The sequence below is a fragment of the Homo sapiens genome, chromosome 1 (genome assembly GCF_000001405.40).
Source record: "Homo sapiens chromosome 1, GRCh38.p14 Primary Assembly".
Lineage (NCBI taxonomy): Eukaryota > Metazoa > Chordata > Mammalia > Primates > Hominidae > Homo > Homo sapiens.
In genome coordinates this window covers 121,053,759-121,071,376 of record NC_000001.11, presented here as the reverse complement: position 1 = coordinate 121,071,376, position 17,618 = coordinate 121,053,759, and the positions used below count along the sequence as shown (strand labels likewise).

Genomic DNA, 17,618 nt, shown 5'->3' with positions numbered 1-17,618 from the left:
AGCCCCAAGCCTTGGCAGCTTTCACATGGTGTTGGTCCTGCAGGTGTGCAGAGGACAAGAACTGAGGTTTGGGAACCTAGATTTCAGGGGATGTATGGAAATGCCTGGATGCCCAGGCAGAGGTGTGCTGCAAGGGCAGAGCCCTCATGGAGAACCTCTGCTAGGGCAGTGCAGAAGGGATATGTGGGGTTGGAGCCCCGACACAGAGTCCCCACTGGGACACTTCCTAGTAAAGCTGTGAGAAGAGGGCCACCATCCTCTAGACCCCAGGTTAGTAAAACCACTGACAGCTTGCACCATGCACCTGGAAAAGACTCAGACACTCAATGCTAGCTGTGAAAGCTGCCAGGAAGAGGGCTGTACCCTGCAAAGTCACAGGGTCAGAGCTGCCCAACATCATGGGAGTCCACCTCTTGCATCAGTGTGATCTGGATTTGAGACATGGAGTCAAAGGATATTATTTTGGAGCTTAAGGATTTAATTACTGCCCTATTGAATTTTGGACTTGCCTGGGGCCTGTAGCTCCTTTGTTTTGGCCAATTTCTCCCATTTGCAGTGGCTGTATTTACCCAATGCCTGTACTCTCATTGTATCAAGGAAGTAACTAACTTGCTTTTGATTTTACAGGCTCATAGACAGAAGGGACTTGCCTTTGGATGAGATTTTGGACTTGGACTTTTGAGCTAATTATGGGATGAGTTAAAATTTTGGGGGACTTTTGGGAAGGTATGATTGTGTTTTAAAATGTGAGGACATGAGATTTGGGAGGGGCCAGGGCAGAATGATATGGTTTTGCTGTGTCCCCACCCAAATCACATTTTGAATTGTAGTTCCCATAATCCCCACATAATGAGAGGGACCCAGTGGGAGGTAATTGAATTGTGGGGGGTGGTTTCCCCCATGCTGTTCTCATGATAGTGAGTTCTCACGAGATCTGATGGTTTTATAAGGGACTTTTCCCCGCTTTTGCTCTGCATTTCTCCTTGCTGCTGCCATGTGAAGAGGGATGTGTTTGCATCTCCTTCTGTCATGATTGTAAGTTTCCTGAGGGCTCCCCAGCCATGCTGAACTGTGAGTTAATCAAGTCTCTTTTCTTTTTAAATTACCTAGTCTCAGGTATGTCTTTATTAGCAGTGTGAGAACAGACTAATACAGTCATGCAATTCAAAGTTGTTTCACACAATATTCTCTGACTACAAATGGTCATGTCAGGTAAATTGGTGAGTAGTACTGTGTGTCATTCAGGGTCTAAAAGGAAAATGGGCTGGGCATGGTGGCTCACACCTGTAATCTCAACACTTTGAGATGCCAAAATGGGAGGATCACTTGAATCTAGTAGTTTAAGATTAGCCTGGGAAAAAGAGTGAGACACTGTGTCTAAAAAAAATAAAAATTAGCTGGGCATGGTGGCACACTCACTTGAGCCCAGGAGTTTAAGGCTTCAGTGAGCTATGATTGCACCACAGCACTTGAGTCTGGGTAACAGAGCAAGACCCTGTCTCAAAAAAAAAAAAAATAGAAAATGAACAGTATACCAGAGGGAATTTAACACAAGGAATTATACAGGTATTGGAGGTCTAAGAAGGCAAAAGGGGAACTGATGTAACACAGAGATAGTAAGTGTAGAAAGCGAAGCAGTGATCAACCCTAGGGTTGTAGAAACAAAGGTAAAATGGTTGGGTTGTTAGAACTTGGTAACTTGGATGAAGGGCCACACATAACTGGGAGGATGGCTTCTGAGAAGGAGGTTGCTGGTGGCCTTGGAACTCAGAGGAAGTACCTAGTGTAGCAGGGACTCAGACCTCTGAAGAAGAGGTGTCCACTGGCTGATGCTCATGCCTTTGAGAGGGGGCCATGAGGCTGGCTCCGGGATTGTAAGAAAAGAAAAGAAATGAAACTGGAAACAATGACCACTCTCAGAGTAAAAAATTATGGCTGGGATGATGCTAATTGAAACAAGAAACAAAATAGGAAGCAGCCAGACCTATATCCCTCCTCCAGCCTTTCAGTCTCTTTTTAACACCCCTTACTGACAGAAACTAATAAAGCCAGCAAGCAAAAAAAAGATGTGGTTTGCAGAGTCCTCACCTTAGCATCAAAAAGCAGATTACAGAGGGTGGGCCCCTCTTTGGCCACTTCCCTACATGCTCATTCATACACATCCTTCTATATAGTGTCTGCTTGAAACCATGATGTCAAAATATAATTTCTTATAGCATGTTTATTTATTTTGGGGTGACAAATCATTATAATAAAAAAGGAGTTGTCCAAAAAGTGACATAGCTTTATAATAGCCATTATGGCAAAAAGTCATTAATTGAACAGTCATTACATGAGGGGATCAGGAACTAAAAATCAACGCTCATTATGGTCATAATGTAAAGAAACATCACAGGAAATCATATATATCCACCATTCATGAATAGAGGAAGTCTGAGACCTAAGAACAGGAACTGGTCCAAAGGGGTAACCTGGAGCTGTATCTTTTTAAAGACAAAACACCCTCCTCCAGGCTTAACAGAGCTTGAAGTGTGAGAACCAGGAAAAGAGGAGTCAATCTCTGGGAACTTAGCTAATATCTACTTTCATGGACACCCCTACAGTCTAACTTTCATTCATTCATTTAACTATTATATGTTGAGTACATAAAATGTTCTAGGCACTAGAGTGGTGAATGAGACTTAATCCATGCTCTGATGGAACTGATTCTTTTTCTTTTTCCTCGCCCAGGTTGGAGTGCAGTGGTGTGATCTCGGCTTATTGCAACCTCTGCCTCCCTGGTTCAAGCGATTATTGTGTCTCAGTCTCCTGCGTAGCTGGGATCACAGGTGTGCATCACCATGCCCAGCTAATTTTTTTATCTGTGGTAGAGATGGGGTTTCACCATGTTGGCCATGCTGGTCTCAAACTCCTGGCCTCAAGTGATCCATTCACCTGGGCCTTCCAAAGTGCTGGGATTATAGGCGTGAGCTACTGTGCCCAGCCAGAATTTACTCTTTAGTGGGTGATTACAACAATTAACAGGTAAAAAGTAAATATATAAAGCTTAAATAAAGATATCAAGAAGTAGTAGGTACTACAAAAGAAAATAAACAGAAAAATGAACGGAGAATAGAAATTTAAACTAACCAGTAATAAGGGAGATGCAAGTCAAGACAATTAAATGTCTTTTTCACTTCCCAGATTGGTAAAAGTATAAATTATTGATAATAGCACCTTGTAAAGGATGAAATAAAATGGATATTTTCATACACTGTCAGTAGGAGTAAATTGGCAAAGCGTTTCAGGGGGATATTATTTAGTAGTATAGAAACAAATTTGAATTTTGCACATTAGGTTAATATATTAAGTTGAATCATATGAAATTGCCAATATTTGACAAATTTTGGCCTAAAAAATGAACTTGAAAATAGATCAAATGAAATTATCCACACTGAAACACTAAAAGGAAAAAGAGTAAAATGTTTTCAAAATTTCAAGAACATACTGGTCAAAAGGGAACTGAACCAAACCACAATTTATTTTTCTTTTTGGTAGCTCCAAAATGAAAGAGGCTGTCTGTTATCCACTGGTTAGATAAAGTAAGCATTTCCCTTCTACATAGGCGATGAGGGGATGGGTCAGATAATTTCAGTTTCTCCTTTTATCTGGTTTTTCTATCTCCTGAGAGAGCATCCTTCCTTTTCTGATTCTCAATCCATGTACATAACTCATCTGAGGGATCTTTATAAGCTTGTAAGTCATAGACATGACTGTTTCCTTTCAAAGTCCAAGTATTTTATTATGTGTGATGTCTCTGGAGTCTATTTGCCACCTAAAAATTGAGAATATGGTCCCAAGCCATCATTTCTGGATATCATTTGAAGCAGGAAATGTGACAACCATTCAAATAGGAAACAATGACAATGACCATTCCCAGAGTCAACATTAGATAATGCATGGACCTGTTGCATGGGATTTATGATGGTCAGGGGTGACCGAAATCAGGTTTCTTGGGTTCCCTCAGTCTAAGATGTCCTTCCAGTTGGAAGGGATCCCCAAATCATTCTACGGCATGGTCACAACCACAAAGGCACCTCTAGGATAAAAAGTGGTGGATAATTTCTCTACACTTCCTCGAAGTTCTGAGTAAGTCTCATCCTGTCCTTTTGAGTTTGAGTCACTTTGGCAGCACAGTCACTTTCCTGTGCTGACTTAGATCCTTTTATTTAAATCCCTGTTCCTGTCACTTGAAGGTGCTTGATGGAAACTGAAGCCCTTTGTTTATTAATTCCATGTGACCTGTTCTTTAGTGGGTAGTTAAACATTTCAAGGACACTGAAAAATACCAAAATACCAAAGAGTGTGCTGTCAGTTGTAGAGGAAACTAGGCTATGCCATCTGATTCAGATAGTTAAAGTTGGCATTGATAGTTCTATGGTAACATTCTTGATTTCCATTTGTGAAAATTTTAGCCCAATTTCTGGCCAATATACACAAATGTATATCTCTATTAGACTATTAAGAAAAATAATAAATGTTTAATTTTATATGATGTGGCTTGATTCTCTTTCACAAAGTAAAATCTGAGCATGTGTGAGATTACCAGCTGGGGGTTGTTAGATTTTGAGACCGGAGTTTTTGATCTTGTGGCCTAGAACCGATTGGTCACTGGATGACTTAAGAGGGAAAAGAAAAATTCTGCATTGCTAATAAAATCTGTATTTGTGGTGACCTGACAGTTTCACAGTGGGGGGACTGATTTGTGCTCCAGCTCATGGCCTCATCAACTTAGTTTCAAGTCAGAGCCATAGCAGTAAAATATGACTTTATTTTTTTAAGCATTTAGTATATTTTAAAAGTTGATGATACATTTCTGGTAACACTGACTAAGCTATTTAGGTACTATATAGAAAACAAATATTTTTAAAAGCATCAAGATGATGATTAACACTGAAGAATTACGAGGCCTGAAGTAAAGGAAAAACTGGAACCCAGAGCCGTAAGCAAGCAGAGAAACCATTTTTTGGCTAAGGACATTTCCTGACGTGCATATTAGGGTTTGACAGCCTTCTGTGACTAATGGGACAGAAATAGAAGACCAGAGTCTGCCCAAGTTGGGGAGTTTATCAGGAGAATAATCCTACAATAAGGTAGGACCTTACATTTCTATAATCTTGGGATAAAAATGAACTATAAAAGAAACATCCCTTATGTTACACAGTTTAAGTTCAGAGCATCTTTCACACCTTTTACTTGATTAAAGGTGGTTCTGGGCTGGAAGTACCCCCAGGTGCTGGGCAAGAAAGCTTTCATTGTAGATCTCAGATTATTCCAAAAATATTTTTCCAGATACAAGATATGGCACATACTCAAAAATAATAATGAACCCAAAGAAACTAAACCAGGTGTGAAAACCAGCAGACATGTCAGGCAGTTGAAATCAAGCCCCCAAATATTAGATATATTAGAAAGACTGCAAAACAATGATGTCTACATTATTCATGAAACAAAATTTGGAAGAATTTTGCCCACTTGGATGTTTTCTTAGCTTCAACTTAACGTTCAGGCTCACAAGAATCTCAGAGGCCATACTTGGCACCAGATTAATCCGAGAGACGTAGGATAAGAATTATAGCTTGCTATCAGGGCAGCAACAGGCATGATATTTCTATAGGAGCAGTCCCTGCAGCAGCAGTCCACACAGTACCTAGGAGATAGTCTCTTGACTCTCCACCCCTCATTGTCTACTTGGGGACAGCTGAGGTGCATGTGGCACCATCCTGGAGCCATTATCTCTTGTTAAGAACTTAATAGAGTAGTTTCCAATGCCCATGCCAGGTGTATGCAAGTTATAGGAGTCACTGCATTCAGAGAAGCTCAAAGTCTGGCTTCTTCCAGATACTTAGTTTTCCCAGTCCAAGTGTAGTCCATCAGTTAGGAGTCTTTTTTATGATATGCAATGTTTGCTTAGTAACATAGTTGACATTTTGTCATTAGAAGGCTCTAGGTGGACAGAGCTGGAAAGTTAATTAAGGTCAAATTATCATGCAGAAGGAGAAAAGGGTTTTGTTAACAATTTACACACCAATTGGAAACAACAAAAAAATGACAGAATAGATTTAGAGAGAGGCAAACAGAAATTTGGAAAAAAAAAAACAAAACAAAATTAAGAGCTCAATGGAAGAGTTTAACAGGAGAGCAGTCACAGCTGAAAAGAGAACTAGTAAAGTGGGAGATGAGGAAGAAGAAAAAAATTCAGAATATATAACAAGGAGAAAAAATAATATTTAATACACAAACACAAAAATATAACAAATAGAGTGAGAAAGTCTACTTTATTTTTAGTTAGAGGCTCAAAAGTAGAAGAGAGAGAAAATAGAGGCAATAACTGAAGAGATAATACTTGAGAGTTTTCCAGACAAAATGAAACTCAAAAGTCAACAGATTCTAGAAGGCCTACCAATCAAAGAAGATAAATAAAGGGAACTCCATACCTAAAGACAGAGTAGTAAAACTGCAGACAATAAAAAAAAAAACAAAGACAAAAATAGCAAAGACAAAAAACAGAGGAAAAAAAGGAACATTACATTCAAATAAGCAGCAGCGAGACAATTGGCTGCCTTCTGAAAAGAAACAATCAAATGCAAATATCTTCAATATGCTGAAAGAAAATAACTGCCTCCAGAATTACATACTTAGTAAAAATAATCTCCAATAATTAAAGCAAAATAAAGACACTTTCAGAGAAAAATAGCTGAAACAGTTTTTCACAAGCAGACCAACACAAAAGGAAATTCTAAATGATGTTTCTCCGGCAGAAGGACCATGATTACATATGGAAATTCAGAGACATAGCAGAAATAAAGAGTAAGATAGCAGCACATATGTTGATAAATCTAAATTAACATTAACTACATAAAATATATGCCTAGTCTTCTGGGGTTTAAAACTATTAATACTTAGACCTAATAAATGATAACAGCATATATATAGAATGAGACTAAATGGAATAAAAGTATTCCAACATCCATATATTGTGCAGGAAGAGGATAACGGTATCAATTATTACTATGTTTAATAAATTAAGGATTAGCTGGGCACGGTGGCTCACACCTGTAATCCCAACACTTTGGGAGGCCAAGGTGGGCGGATCATGAGGTCAAGAGATGGAGACCATCCTGGCCAACACAGTGAAGCCCTGTCTCTACTAAAAAAATACAAAAATTAGCTGCACCTGTAGTCCCAGCTACTCGGGAGGCTGAGGCAGGAGAATCACTTGAACCCGAGAGGCAGAGGTTGCTGTGAGCCAAGATCGCGGCACAGTACTCCAGCCTGGAGACAGAGTGAGACTCTGTCTCAAAAAAAAAAAAAAAAAAAAAAAAAAAAAATAAGGATTAAGATTGTAATTTTTAAAGTAACCACAAAAGAATAGAAGCAACTTAAATACAATTAAAGGAAATACAATAAGGAAGAAAGTGAAGCAAAGCATATAAAAAAGTAAAAAAATATAATGTTATAATAGTTAAAAATAACCAATCCAAAACAGACAAGAAAAGACATAGAAACAGAACAAGCAGAACAAACAGAAAAAAATAAAGATGGTAGATTTAAAATTAATATATATCAACAATTACATTAAATGTAAGTGGACCAAATTATCCAGTAAAACAAACCCCCGAAATACTGCTACACTGGATTTTTAAATTAACTATATGATATATTTAGGAGTTGTATCTAAACCAGAAAGTGAGAGAAAGGTTGGAAATGAAAGGCAAGAAAAGGAGCTTGACTGAAAACATTAACAAAAAGGTGGCTATATTAATAGACTCTAAAGCAAAAAACATGACATCAGAATATATCTCTTAGAGAATATAACCATTCCTTTCTAAATACTTTTTATGCTGACTGGTTATCATAGGTGACAATATATGTTAATCTGTCTGCACCATTTTGTTAAGACAAAAAGCTTTGGTATTTTCTTCTTCACTCTCCAACTATAAAGCTATAATAAACTAATAAATCTTTAAATATTCCTTATCTTTAAAATTTTTGTATAAGTGATTATTGTCATGTTATTTAGTGCAGTGGTTTATTTTCATCCTTTCTTCCTAATCTCCAAGTATTGCCGGGTACTTGAGCTTTTCCAATGCACACGTATCAAAGCCAGCACGAGTCCAGAACCTACTGCCTCTGAGAGCTGATCCATGGTAATTCTTTTCCCAACATCCTCTTGGTCTCTAGGACTCTAATGACCAAAGGAAAAGAGATTGCTGTTGCTTGGCTACTATGTTGGTAGATATGATTTAAGGCTACAGGTATGTCCAGATTTACACTGTGGAAAGGTCACTCAGGATACAGTGTGGCAAATGGGTTGGAATAGACAAGACTGGCTGTAGAGAGGCCAGTTTTTGATCTACTTATGTTAATGGAGGTGATGGATGGACCAGCGTAGTAACAAAGTGGGAATGAGTCTGTATAGAGTCCAATAAATTTAAATACTATAATTCTTTGGAAATGAATTGTCGTGTTGGGAGATTGGGAGTGTTTAAAGAAGATATCAAGATCTGATTTGAGGAGCAGGATGCATAGCAGTGAGGATAAGTGTCTAGGCAGGGGTAGAAGCAGGTTTTAGTGATCTGTTGAAACACCCACGACAACACACTACTCTTTGGGAGATGCTGGCTTGGGGCTGATCATTGAGGTAGAGGGTAGTATATGATGCTGACAGGGAACTCACTGGTGTGTTGAGTTTTAGCATCTGTGACTCTGAGATGCATATGAGGCCTCTTGTAAATTTTGGGGTTGAGAGTAGAAAGTACAGGTTTGTATTTTAGAAAGAGATTTGGGAATAAATGTAGCTCTGGTTGACACAGACAATATGTGAAGGTTTGTTGGCCAGAACTAGTATGTGTCTTGGGTGTTGGGCAGAGAACAGATAGAGCCAAAGCTCTGCAAGGTCAATGTGAAGGGTGATTTCCTTGTTGGGTTCAAGTTTATGACTCAGCCTGGACCTAGCTTGGCTTCTCAACTAGAGAAGAAGCATGATTCCATGTCATACACAACTCCTGTCTTTGAAAAAGTCATAATGACTCCCAGACCCAACATGTGGGGCAAACTTTCCAGATTTTTCTCTTCAGTTTAATCTTTCCAGGGAAAATTGGGGAAAGAAATCTCTCTATTTGAACTTCATCAAAAGACCAATATGTTAATATTTCAGCCACTAATATGTCTTTAAACCATGTTACTCCTTAAACAGCTATTACACGAAAGTGTATTAACTGAGGAAACTGGGTTCTCCCAAACAATGAAACACTGACTGCAAGCATTATTCATCTTTTTATATCATAAATTCCTTCAAATATTTTAAACATTTTAGAAAGCAAATAATAGTATTATAATGATTACAAGACTGATCATTACTCTTTTACAAAAAACGGCCACAAATAACTAACTCCATTAGCATTACCTTCTGTCCTTTCATTTCCTCTTTCTTCATCTTCTTTTTTTGCCTATGATATTCTGGTATAGCATATTCCCTCTTTCTTCTAATTCTAATTCTGATTCTGCTTCTTATTTCTTCCCTAGATTAAAACTTTACTTACCTATGCTGCCAGTTAGTGCTTCCTTCCCAGAGCCACTAAAGCAACAGTTTGAGGTTGAGGTCCTAAATTGAAGATTTAGGATCAGAAACAAGGAACCTGGATGAATTTCTGATGTTTTTCTATAGGAGTCTGTTACGCAGTTGGAAGGAGCCTTTTTCGGAATTAAAGTTTGATCAAATAAGCTATTTTAATATTTATAGTTTTGTCTAGTAAAAGTATTCTGTAAAAACCTTGGTTTTGGATGTCTACTGTTAGCTTTTAGTCAATACTACAAAAAGCTTCTTTTGGAACAATTTCTGTCTTTTTCAGTATTGTATTTCAATTGTTTCTCCAGGACCACACATAAGAGCCGGATTTGTGGTCCAGTGGTAGAATTCTCACCGCCTGCATAGGAGACCCTGGTTTAATTCCTGGCCAATGCAACAAGTTTTGTGCTTCACTTCTCTATATTCTTTATACTTCTGCCCTGCACAGGCTATCCCATGTTTAAGGGCCTTGGTTGTGGAGGCTTTTGACTTATGACAATGGTAACCCAAGTGATGGCCAATACCTGAAGCATAAGATATTCAGGAAATGATCTAATGATCTAGGGACCTTGCAGTTAGAGTCAAGAGCCATTCCTGTAATCCCAGCACTTTGGCAGGTCAAGGCAGGTGGATCACCTGAGATCAGGAGTTTGAGACCAGCCTGGCCAACATGGTGAAACCCAGTCTCTACTAAAAATACAAAAATTTGCCAGGCATGGTGGCACACACCTGGAGCTACTTAGCATAGTCTATCTTTGAAAGTGGCAAGTGTTTCTGGTAGTTTGATGCAGTTTTGAATATTGGTATGTAAAACTTTTGTTACTTTCATCTATTCTCCAGGTAGATCCCTAGAATCCCAAAGAACCATCACGTCCCTGATTTGCATGCTAGACCTTGGGCTGACCGCTGGGTCACGCCTCACTATGGAGCGAGGAACAAGAAGTGAAGTCCCCTGAAGGAGAGAAGCTGTGGGGAGGAGCAGTCACCTTGGTGGTGTCAGGTGTCGGCAGTCCAAGAAAAGGGGAGGCACGTGGGGAGGAATCCGTGCGGAGATGAGGGGAGCAGTGGAGACGTGGCTTTGGGCAGAGGTGGCGAGTGGACCCTCAGGCCTGTACCCTGGACACCATGAACAGAATTAGTTAACATTGTCACCCACCATGGCCTCCGTGTGTTCCGTGAGCCCATTTGCTTTCCCAAAGGGATTCCTAGCAATGTGTGTCAACAGGTGTTGGCCTGATTTTTTTTTAATTTTTATTTTTTGAGACTGGGCAGTGCAGCAGTGGCTTGGTCTTGACTCACTGCAACTTCCGCATCTTGGGTTCAAGTCCTTACCTGGCAATACTGTGTTGAAGCCATTGAAACTGTCCCTATAAACTTTATAAAATTAATCAGGGAAGAAGGGAAGGGGAGAAACAAAAATAAACAAGCTTGCAGCAATTTTGCATTACTCTTGAGAGCAGCCTGCTCTTGGACCTGCTTCCTCACAGTTGTTTGGTGCTGTTTGTGCTAGAATCAGGCAGGCCCTAGATTATAGTTCTCCTGAACTGTTCTATAGATAACAACCTGAACATTATGAAATGTTAAGTTTCCCATTAGAGATATTCTTTCAGATCCTGTGTACCAGTGAAACTACTGATGTCAGCTGGTCTGAAGGACCCCACTGAGGAACTGACTCAGTATGCAGTTTCCAAATCCTAATGATTTCATCCCCCTTCCCCTGCCCAATCAACAACCTTAATTTTCCAACCCCTCACCCTCCACAATCCCCTTAAAAACCCTAACGCAGAAGTTCTTGAGGAGATGGATTTGAGGGTCTACTCATATCTCTCCCCTTGGCTGCCCTGTGATCATTAAATTCTTTGTTGCAAACTGCTGTCTTAGTGTATTGGTCTATTACTGCACAGTGGGCATATGAACCTACTGCTCTTATAACACCAGAGTTGTTTTCTACTTTGTTTTAACTATTCTGGAAATCTCTGTATTTGTTGAATAAAATTGTAATGCGATATATAATGTTTTGTTTTTTTTTTTGTTGTTTTGTTTTGTTTTTTTAGCATTTTTTTTCTCTAAAGGAGAATCAGGCTTTCAGGTGAACAATCTAGGAGACTTGATTTACAAAAATGAAAATGACATTACTTATGTGATGAGGCACATTGAAAGAGCCCATAAAGTGGCAGCAAAAATTAAACCAGGATGATCAACTTCAAGACAATATCCTAGTAAAATTATTAGATTTTAAAGATAAAACATACTCAGGTCTCCAGGCATCACTGTGGAACAAGTTACAAAAGCAACTGAATTAGATGGGCACTAACATACAAGGCAAGGTAACAGTGAAGCAGCATTTTCAAAAAACTTATATATAGAAAGTGCAGTGTGGCTGGGCCACCCCAGCCCCCAGCAGTGGGGTAGGATGGCACTAAAGTGGATCCTGAAGGAATTAACCAACTTGCAGACGAATCCTCCTGCCCAGTGCTCCACGGGGCCTCTGGGTGATAATTAATGACAGTCCTTGCCAAGGAGGTGTTTTCTTCCTGACCATCCACTTTCCTACGGATTGCCTGTTCAAGCCCCCAAAGGTTGCTTTCACAACCAAAATTTATCACCCCAATATCAATAGCAATGGCAGCATCTGCTTCGACATCCTATGGTCTCAGTGGTCTCCAGCATTGACTGTCAAAAGTTCTCTTGTCCATCTGCTCACTGCCCTGCATCCCCAACCTCAATGATCCTCTGGTGCTAGAGATACCCCACACCTACAAGGCCGACAGAGAGAACTACAACAGACTAGCAAGACAGTGGACAGAAAAATATGCTATGTAAGTGCCTAGGTGATTTTACGGGAGACATTGTCTCCCTTGAATTCAAGGTCTTCCCTTGAAATTCTGGGCTGTGGGCTGGGCCATTCAAAGTGTCATCTGTTCTTCAAACAAATTGATATAGGAGTTAAAAAGAAATTATTTAGGCATTAGGGTAAGGAAGTCCTTGGTAAGGTTCCCTTTTAATGAAAAGCAGCCCCCAAATAATTTCTTTTCTAACAAAAAGCAGCCTGTAAAATGGAGCTGCAGACATAGATAAGCAAGCTGGAAGCTTGCACAGGTGACTGCTGGCGGCTGTGCCAATAGGACAAGGCTACCTGGGGGGTAGGCATGTTCAACATGGTGGCTCCATCTTCCCTTTTCCTTTCTAACCACGTGTACAGTAAGGAGCAGACAACATGGCGCGAGTAAAGTAGAAAACCCATTTGCATAAGAAGAAGATTAGGGTTGGGTGGCCAGCTTCTTCCAGCGCTATGTAAATGTCACACCTGGTCCAACCAATCTTTGGGCCCTATGTGAATCAGACACTGCCTCCTCAAGCCAGCCTATAAAACCCTGTGCACTTCACCACAAAACCAGAAGTTCCACTCTGGCAACCCTCTCTCTCTCAGGAGAGAGAGCTATTTTCCTTTCTCTTTCTTTTTTTTTTTGAGACGGAGTCTCGCTGTTGCCCAGGCTGGAGTGCAGTGGCGCAATCTCTGCTCACTGCAAGCTCCGCCCCCTGGGGTTCACGCCATTCTCCTGCCTCAGCCTCCCGAGTAGCTGGGACTACAGGCGCCCGCCACCTCGCCCGGCTTTCACCGTGTTAGCCAGGATGGTCTCGATCTCCTGACCTCGTGATCCGCCCGCCTCGGCCTCCCAAAGTGCTGGGATGACAGGCGTGAGCCACCGCGCCCGGCCCTTTCTCTTTCTTTTGCCTAGTAAACCTCCACTCCTACACCCACTTCTTGTGTGTCCACATCCTCAGTTCCCTTGGTGTGAGGCAACAAACCTTGGGTACTTACCCCAGACAACTATGCCACTTCAAAATGTTGGTCACCCACTCTCTCCAGCTGCAGCATGTTGGTGCCATTCTCAACAATTGTGGCTTTGACAATGCCACATCTTTGATGCCAAATCAGCAGCCATAATTGTTATGATCTGCAGCCTTCCCGGTTACACTGGAATCTCTCTCTCTGCCCCAGTTTATCTGTTGGTCTTTTGGGGAGCTAGGCCCTGCACCTCTCTCCTACCCAGCCTCAAATCGTGCCACTGCTCACAAAAGTACCACACCAGGTCTTCAGCCAGGCCCCTCACCACATAACCTTTACGTTTTAGAACTCAGTGCCATCCTGGGTAACCAGGGCTGAGCAGGGTTTCCTCACACCCTGTCTGCTGCACAACCACAGCCTGAGGAGGCTCAGCTCATGCTGGAGGGAATTGGGAACAGTGTCAATGGGAAGTGAAGGCCTTGCCCTGAGGCTTCCATCAGTCTTATTCTCCATTTGCCACATGCTGGCATTTCTCCCCTCAAACCAAGAAGCGGCAAGAGGAAAATGTTAAGATATAAGGTACATAATACCCCATAAGACATGACTATGTTTTTAGAAGCAAGAGGAAAATTATGAAACCTCTAGAGGTTTGGGTTATGTTTATCCATATGATGAGGATTTTCGCCACCCCTGCTCCTCCCACTAGGAGCCTACACTAAGTTCAAGTGTGAGCCATTCACAAACCAGAACACAAGGAGGGAGAGAGACTCCTTGGGTGGATCATGAGGTCAGGAGATTGAGACCATCCTGGCTAACATGGTGAAACCCCGTCTCTACTAAAAATACAAAAAATTAGCCAGGCATGGTGGTGGGTGACTGTAGTCCCAGCTACTCCGGAGGCTGAGGCAGGAGAATGGCGTGAACCTGGGAGGTGGAGCTTGCAGTGAGCCGAGATAGTGCCACTGCACTCCAGCCTGGGTGACAGAGTGAGACTCCATCTCAAAAAATAAAATAAAATAAAATAAAATGAAATAAAATAAAATAAAATAAAATATAAAATAAAATGCAATTTACTCATTAAAAAGAAGAAAGTGCAAATTAAGGATATTATATCCAATGAAACTCTCTTCAAGGTACAAGGTACAAGGGAATGGCTTTGCTTAAACTTTACATAGGTAAGGCTCAACCATACTATGACTCAAACCTTGACCAAATGCCCTCCTGGACCATGGTAAGGGAAATAGTCTTGTGAGGCATTATCATAAGACTATTTCTTACTCCTCTCTTTTGGGGGCCTCCTTGTCTTGCAGCAGGCTACCAGCAGGCAGTTTCTCACCTGTTTCTGGTAAGCCATGGAAATTTCCATCTTGCCCCGATCCCCTCAATGGTACAGCTACAGACTGTAACTGCCTAGCTGCAATATAAAATTGGCCCCTTCTTGACAGAGCAACCCACCACTTGGGTTGTCATCTAGTAACTCCAGTTTTGTGTCATGCTGTGGAATTATGGATGTGGGGAGCTGACAACATACTAATCTTTCTTATGCATAGATATCCCCTATTACTTATGCTGTGTGCGTAAGTCCAAGTGTGAGCCATTCACAGATTTGATGCCCAACATGGGACCAGTAAGGTCACAATGCCTTCTAGGAGAAAAAACAGAAAGAACCACATGGGGCCAGGTTAGGGGGCTTGAGAAGGGCCTCCAGGATCTGGTAGCAGATGTTCTCTCCCACGTAGTAGGTGTGAGAGGAGAGTAACAGTCCTCCTATTGTTCTATGTGTTAGTGAATATTTGGAGGCTGAGCATTGACAGGGAAGACTGAAACCAGCCACCCAAATGGCATTTTTTGTTGTTTAAAGTTCATTGAAACTGAATGGACAGGCTGGGCATGGTGGCTCATGCCGGTAATCCTAGCACTTTGGGAGGCCGAGGCAGGTGGATAACCTGAGGTCAGGGGTTCGAGACCAGCTTGGCCAACATGGTTAAACCTCATCTCTACTAAAAATAGAAAAAATAGCCAGGCATGGTGGCAGGAGCCTGTAATCTCAGCTACTCAGGAGGCTGAGGCAGGAGAATTGTTTGAACCCAGGAGGTGGAGGTTATAGTGAGCTGAGATCATGCCACTGCACTCCAGCCTGGGCAACTCCGTTTCAAAAAAAGGAAAAAAAAAAAACCCAAAAAACTGAATGGACAGCCTCTTAAAACCAAAAGCAATTGCAGAGTTGTGCTTCCTGTTGTGTGCCTGCTCTCTTTGTGCTCCTAATTCTTCTCTTCCCCTCAACCTGACTCAGGTACTTTAAGGAAAGAAGTCTCTCTACTGCTTCTTGATGGCTGGTCACATCTCCCTGCACTCCTTGAACTCTCAGTCAAGGAGGTAAGATATTCTCCTGGCAGGTGTTGCTGTAACTAAAGTGCATGTGTTAAACTTCTTGATATGTGTTCCTGTAGAGTGTGAATTCAACTGACAGAGTTTGGGTAAAATTTGTAGTAAAGAGGGAAAAAAAGTTAAAGTTATGAGTGAAGCCTCTGAGCCAATTCAGTGTATAGTTGTGAAAATGTGTCATTGAGATTGATGATTTACATGCTTATACAATGAATGGTCTTAAATTGTTAGAGGAGATTCTTCTGTTCAGAGTACCATCATGAGTAAAAAAAGGGCTAATGGGGCAAAAATCCCTTAACATTTGTCACCAATGAATGGGTCAGAATTTAGCCTGAGTGCCTGTAGCCTCTGATGTCTAAGTTTTACCACATAAATAATGTTCTGTTGGTTGGCAAGTCAAAATTTTAAAACTCAACTACTCTGACTGCAGTGTTATCACATCTCTGCTAGTAGGGGTGACTGATAAACACCATCCCACCCCCGCCAAAATCAATAGCTTGCTTGCCAAGTAAAGTTTCTTGGGACTATGCCAATGAATTCACAATGTTCAATTCCTCTGGCAGCCAAAAGGAAGACAAAGAACTAAAAACTCCTGCCTCTCACAAAGTAAAAGACTTGATTTCTGATATAGAAGCCACCATTGCATGCCAGATTTGTCACTCCTGCCAAAGTTTGTCCTGTTTGTTTTGGAGAAAATATTGTTGCTTCACTGCTTTCTGGCTTCCATACGTTTTGATAAGAAACCTATGTTATGGTTAAAATTACAAAATTACAGAAATAATACTGAATAATAGTCTTCATTTCCTTTAACCTGAACTCTCCAAAATAAACAATACTTAAAATTTGTTGTATATAATTTCAAAAATGGTGGAATCAGAGTACTAACTGATAGTGTCTGGCCAGAGGACCAAAATTCCCAAACCTCATTCTGCCAATAACCTAGGTTCTCTGGTGGATGTGGGGATTACTGTAAAAGATATATACACAGATAAAACTGACAAGGTATAGATAATCACAATTTACGGCAGGGCTTGTGCCACAGTGGAGGGAATTCCAGTAAACTGTATCAGAGGATAAGGCTTAGTTCAAGACCTTAGGGTTTTTTCTTCTGTCTAAGCATAAAGTAACCTTTATCAAACTTCTCCAAATGAATCTGATGGCTGCAAGTTCTCTGAGAAGAGAGAACCAGAAAGAAGTCACATGGAGTGGGAATTCAAGGTTAGAAGCTCCCCTTAACACCAGCCAAGTTACCAGTTTTGATGCTCTGGTAGAAAAGGGACAGTAATAGCCACACCCCTTTGTACAATATACTAAGTCCCCATATAGTAACAAACAAGCTCAGTACTTGTCCTGGTATGTAAAGAATAAGAAGAGAAAACCTAACCTGAGTCTAGGTTTCCTCCTTTGTTTATTAAGGATTGGGGGAGAAAGACAGCAGAGAATTTGTCTTTTTTACACAATTACTTCATTCCAATTTTCTGATGTCACTCCAAGTAATGCTAAGGGAGAAGTTTATTAGGCAAGTCCTTCAGAAGGCTATTTTCTTCCCATTTTCACTCCTTTCGTGTATCATATTGGGCCAGGAAATGGACAATTTAGTGGGCCAAGGAAATGCCATTTTAATATTACAGCATAGATATCTGAAGTATACAACACCATGCCATAAATTCAGCTATCTTATCCCTACACTATCTAAGAGGTTACCAACACTGTCCCATTATATTTAATTTACCTTTTGAAATTATATATGGTTATATATACATATATACCCACACACGTATACATGTGTATATGTATATACACATGTATACGTGTGTGTGTATATGTAGTAAT

General features: G+C 40.7%; 2 pseudogenes across 1 annotated transcript in view; both read left to right on the top strand.

Moving 5' to 3' along the window:
* Positions 1-11,614, top strand: part of H3P4 (H3 histone pseudogene 4) — a 58,864-nt pseudogene extending 47,250 nt beyond the window's left edge. The window contains exon 3 of the transcript NR_160941.1: positions 10,451-11,614. The product of NR_160941.1 is annotated as a H3 histone pseudogene 4, transcript variant 2 (transcript). The remainder of the gene's footprint in view (positions 1-10,450) is intronic.
* Positions 11,615-12,023: 409 nt separating this feature from the next.
* On the top strand, positions 12,024-12,534 carry UBE2D4P3 (UBE2D4 pseudogene 3; annotated as a pseudogene).
* Positions 12,535-17,618: the final 5,084 nt, after the last annotated feature.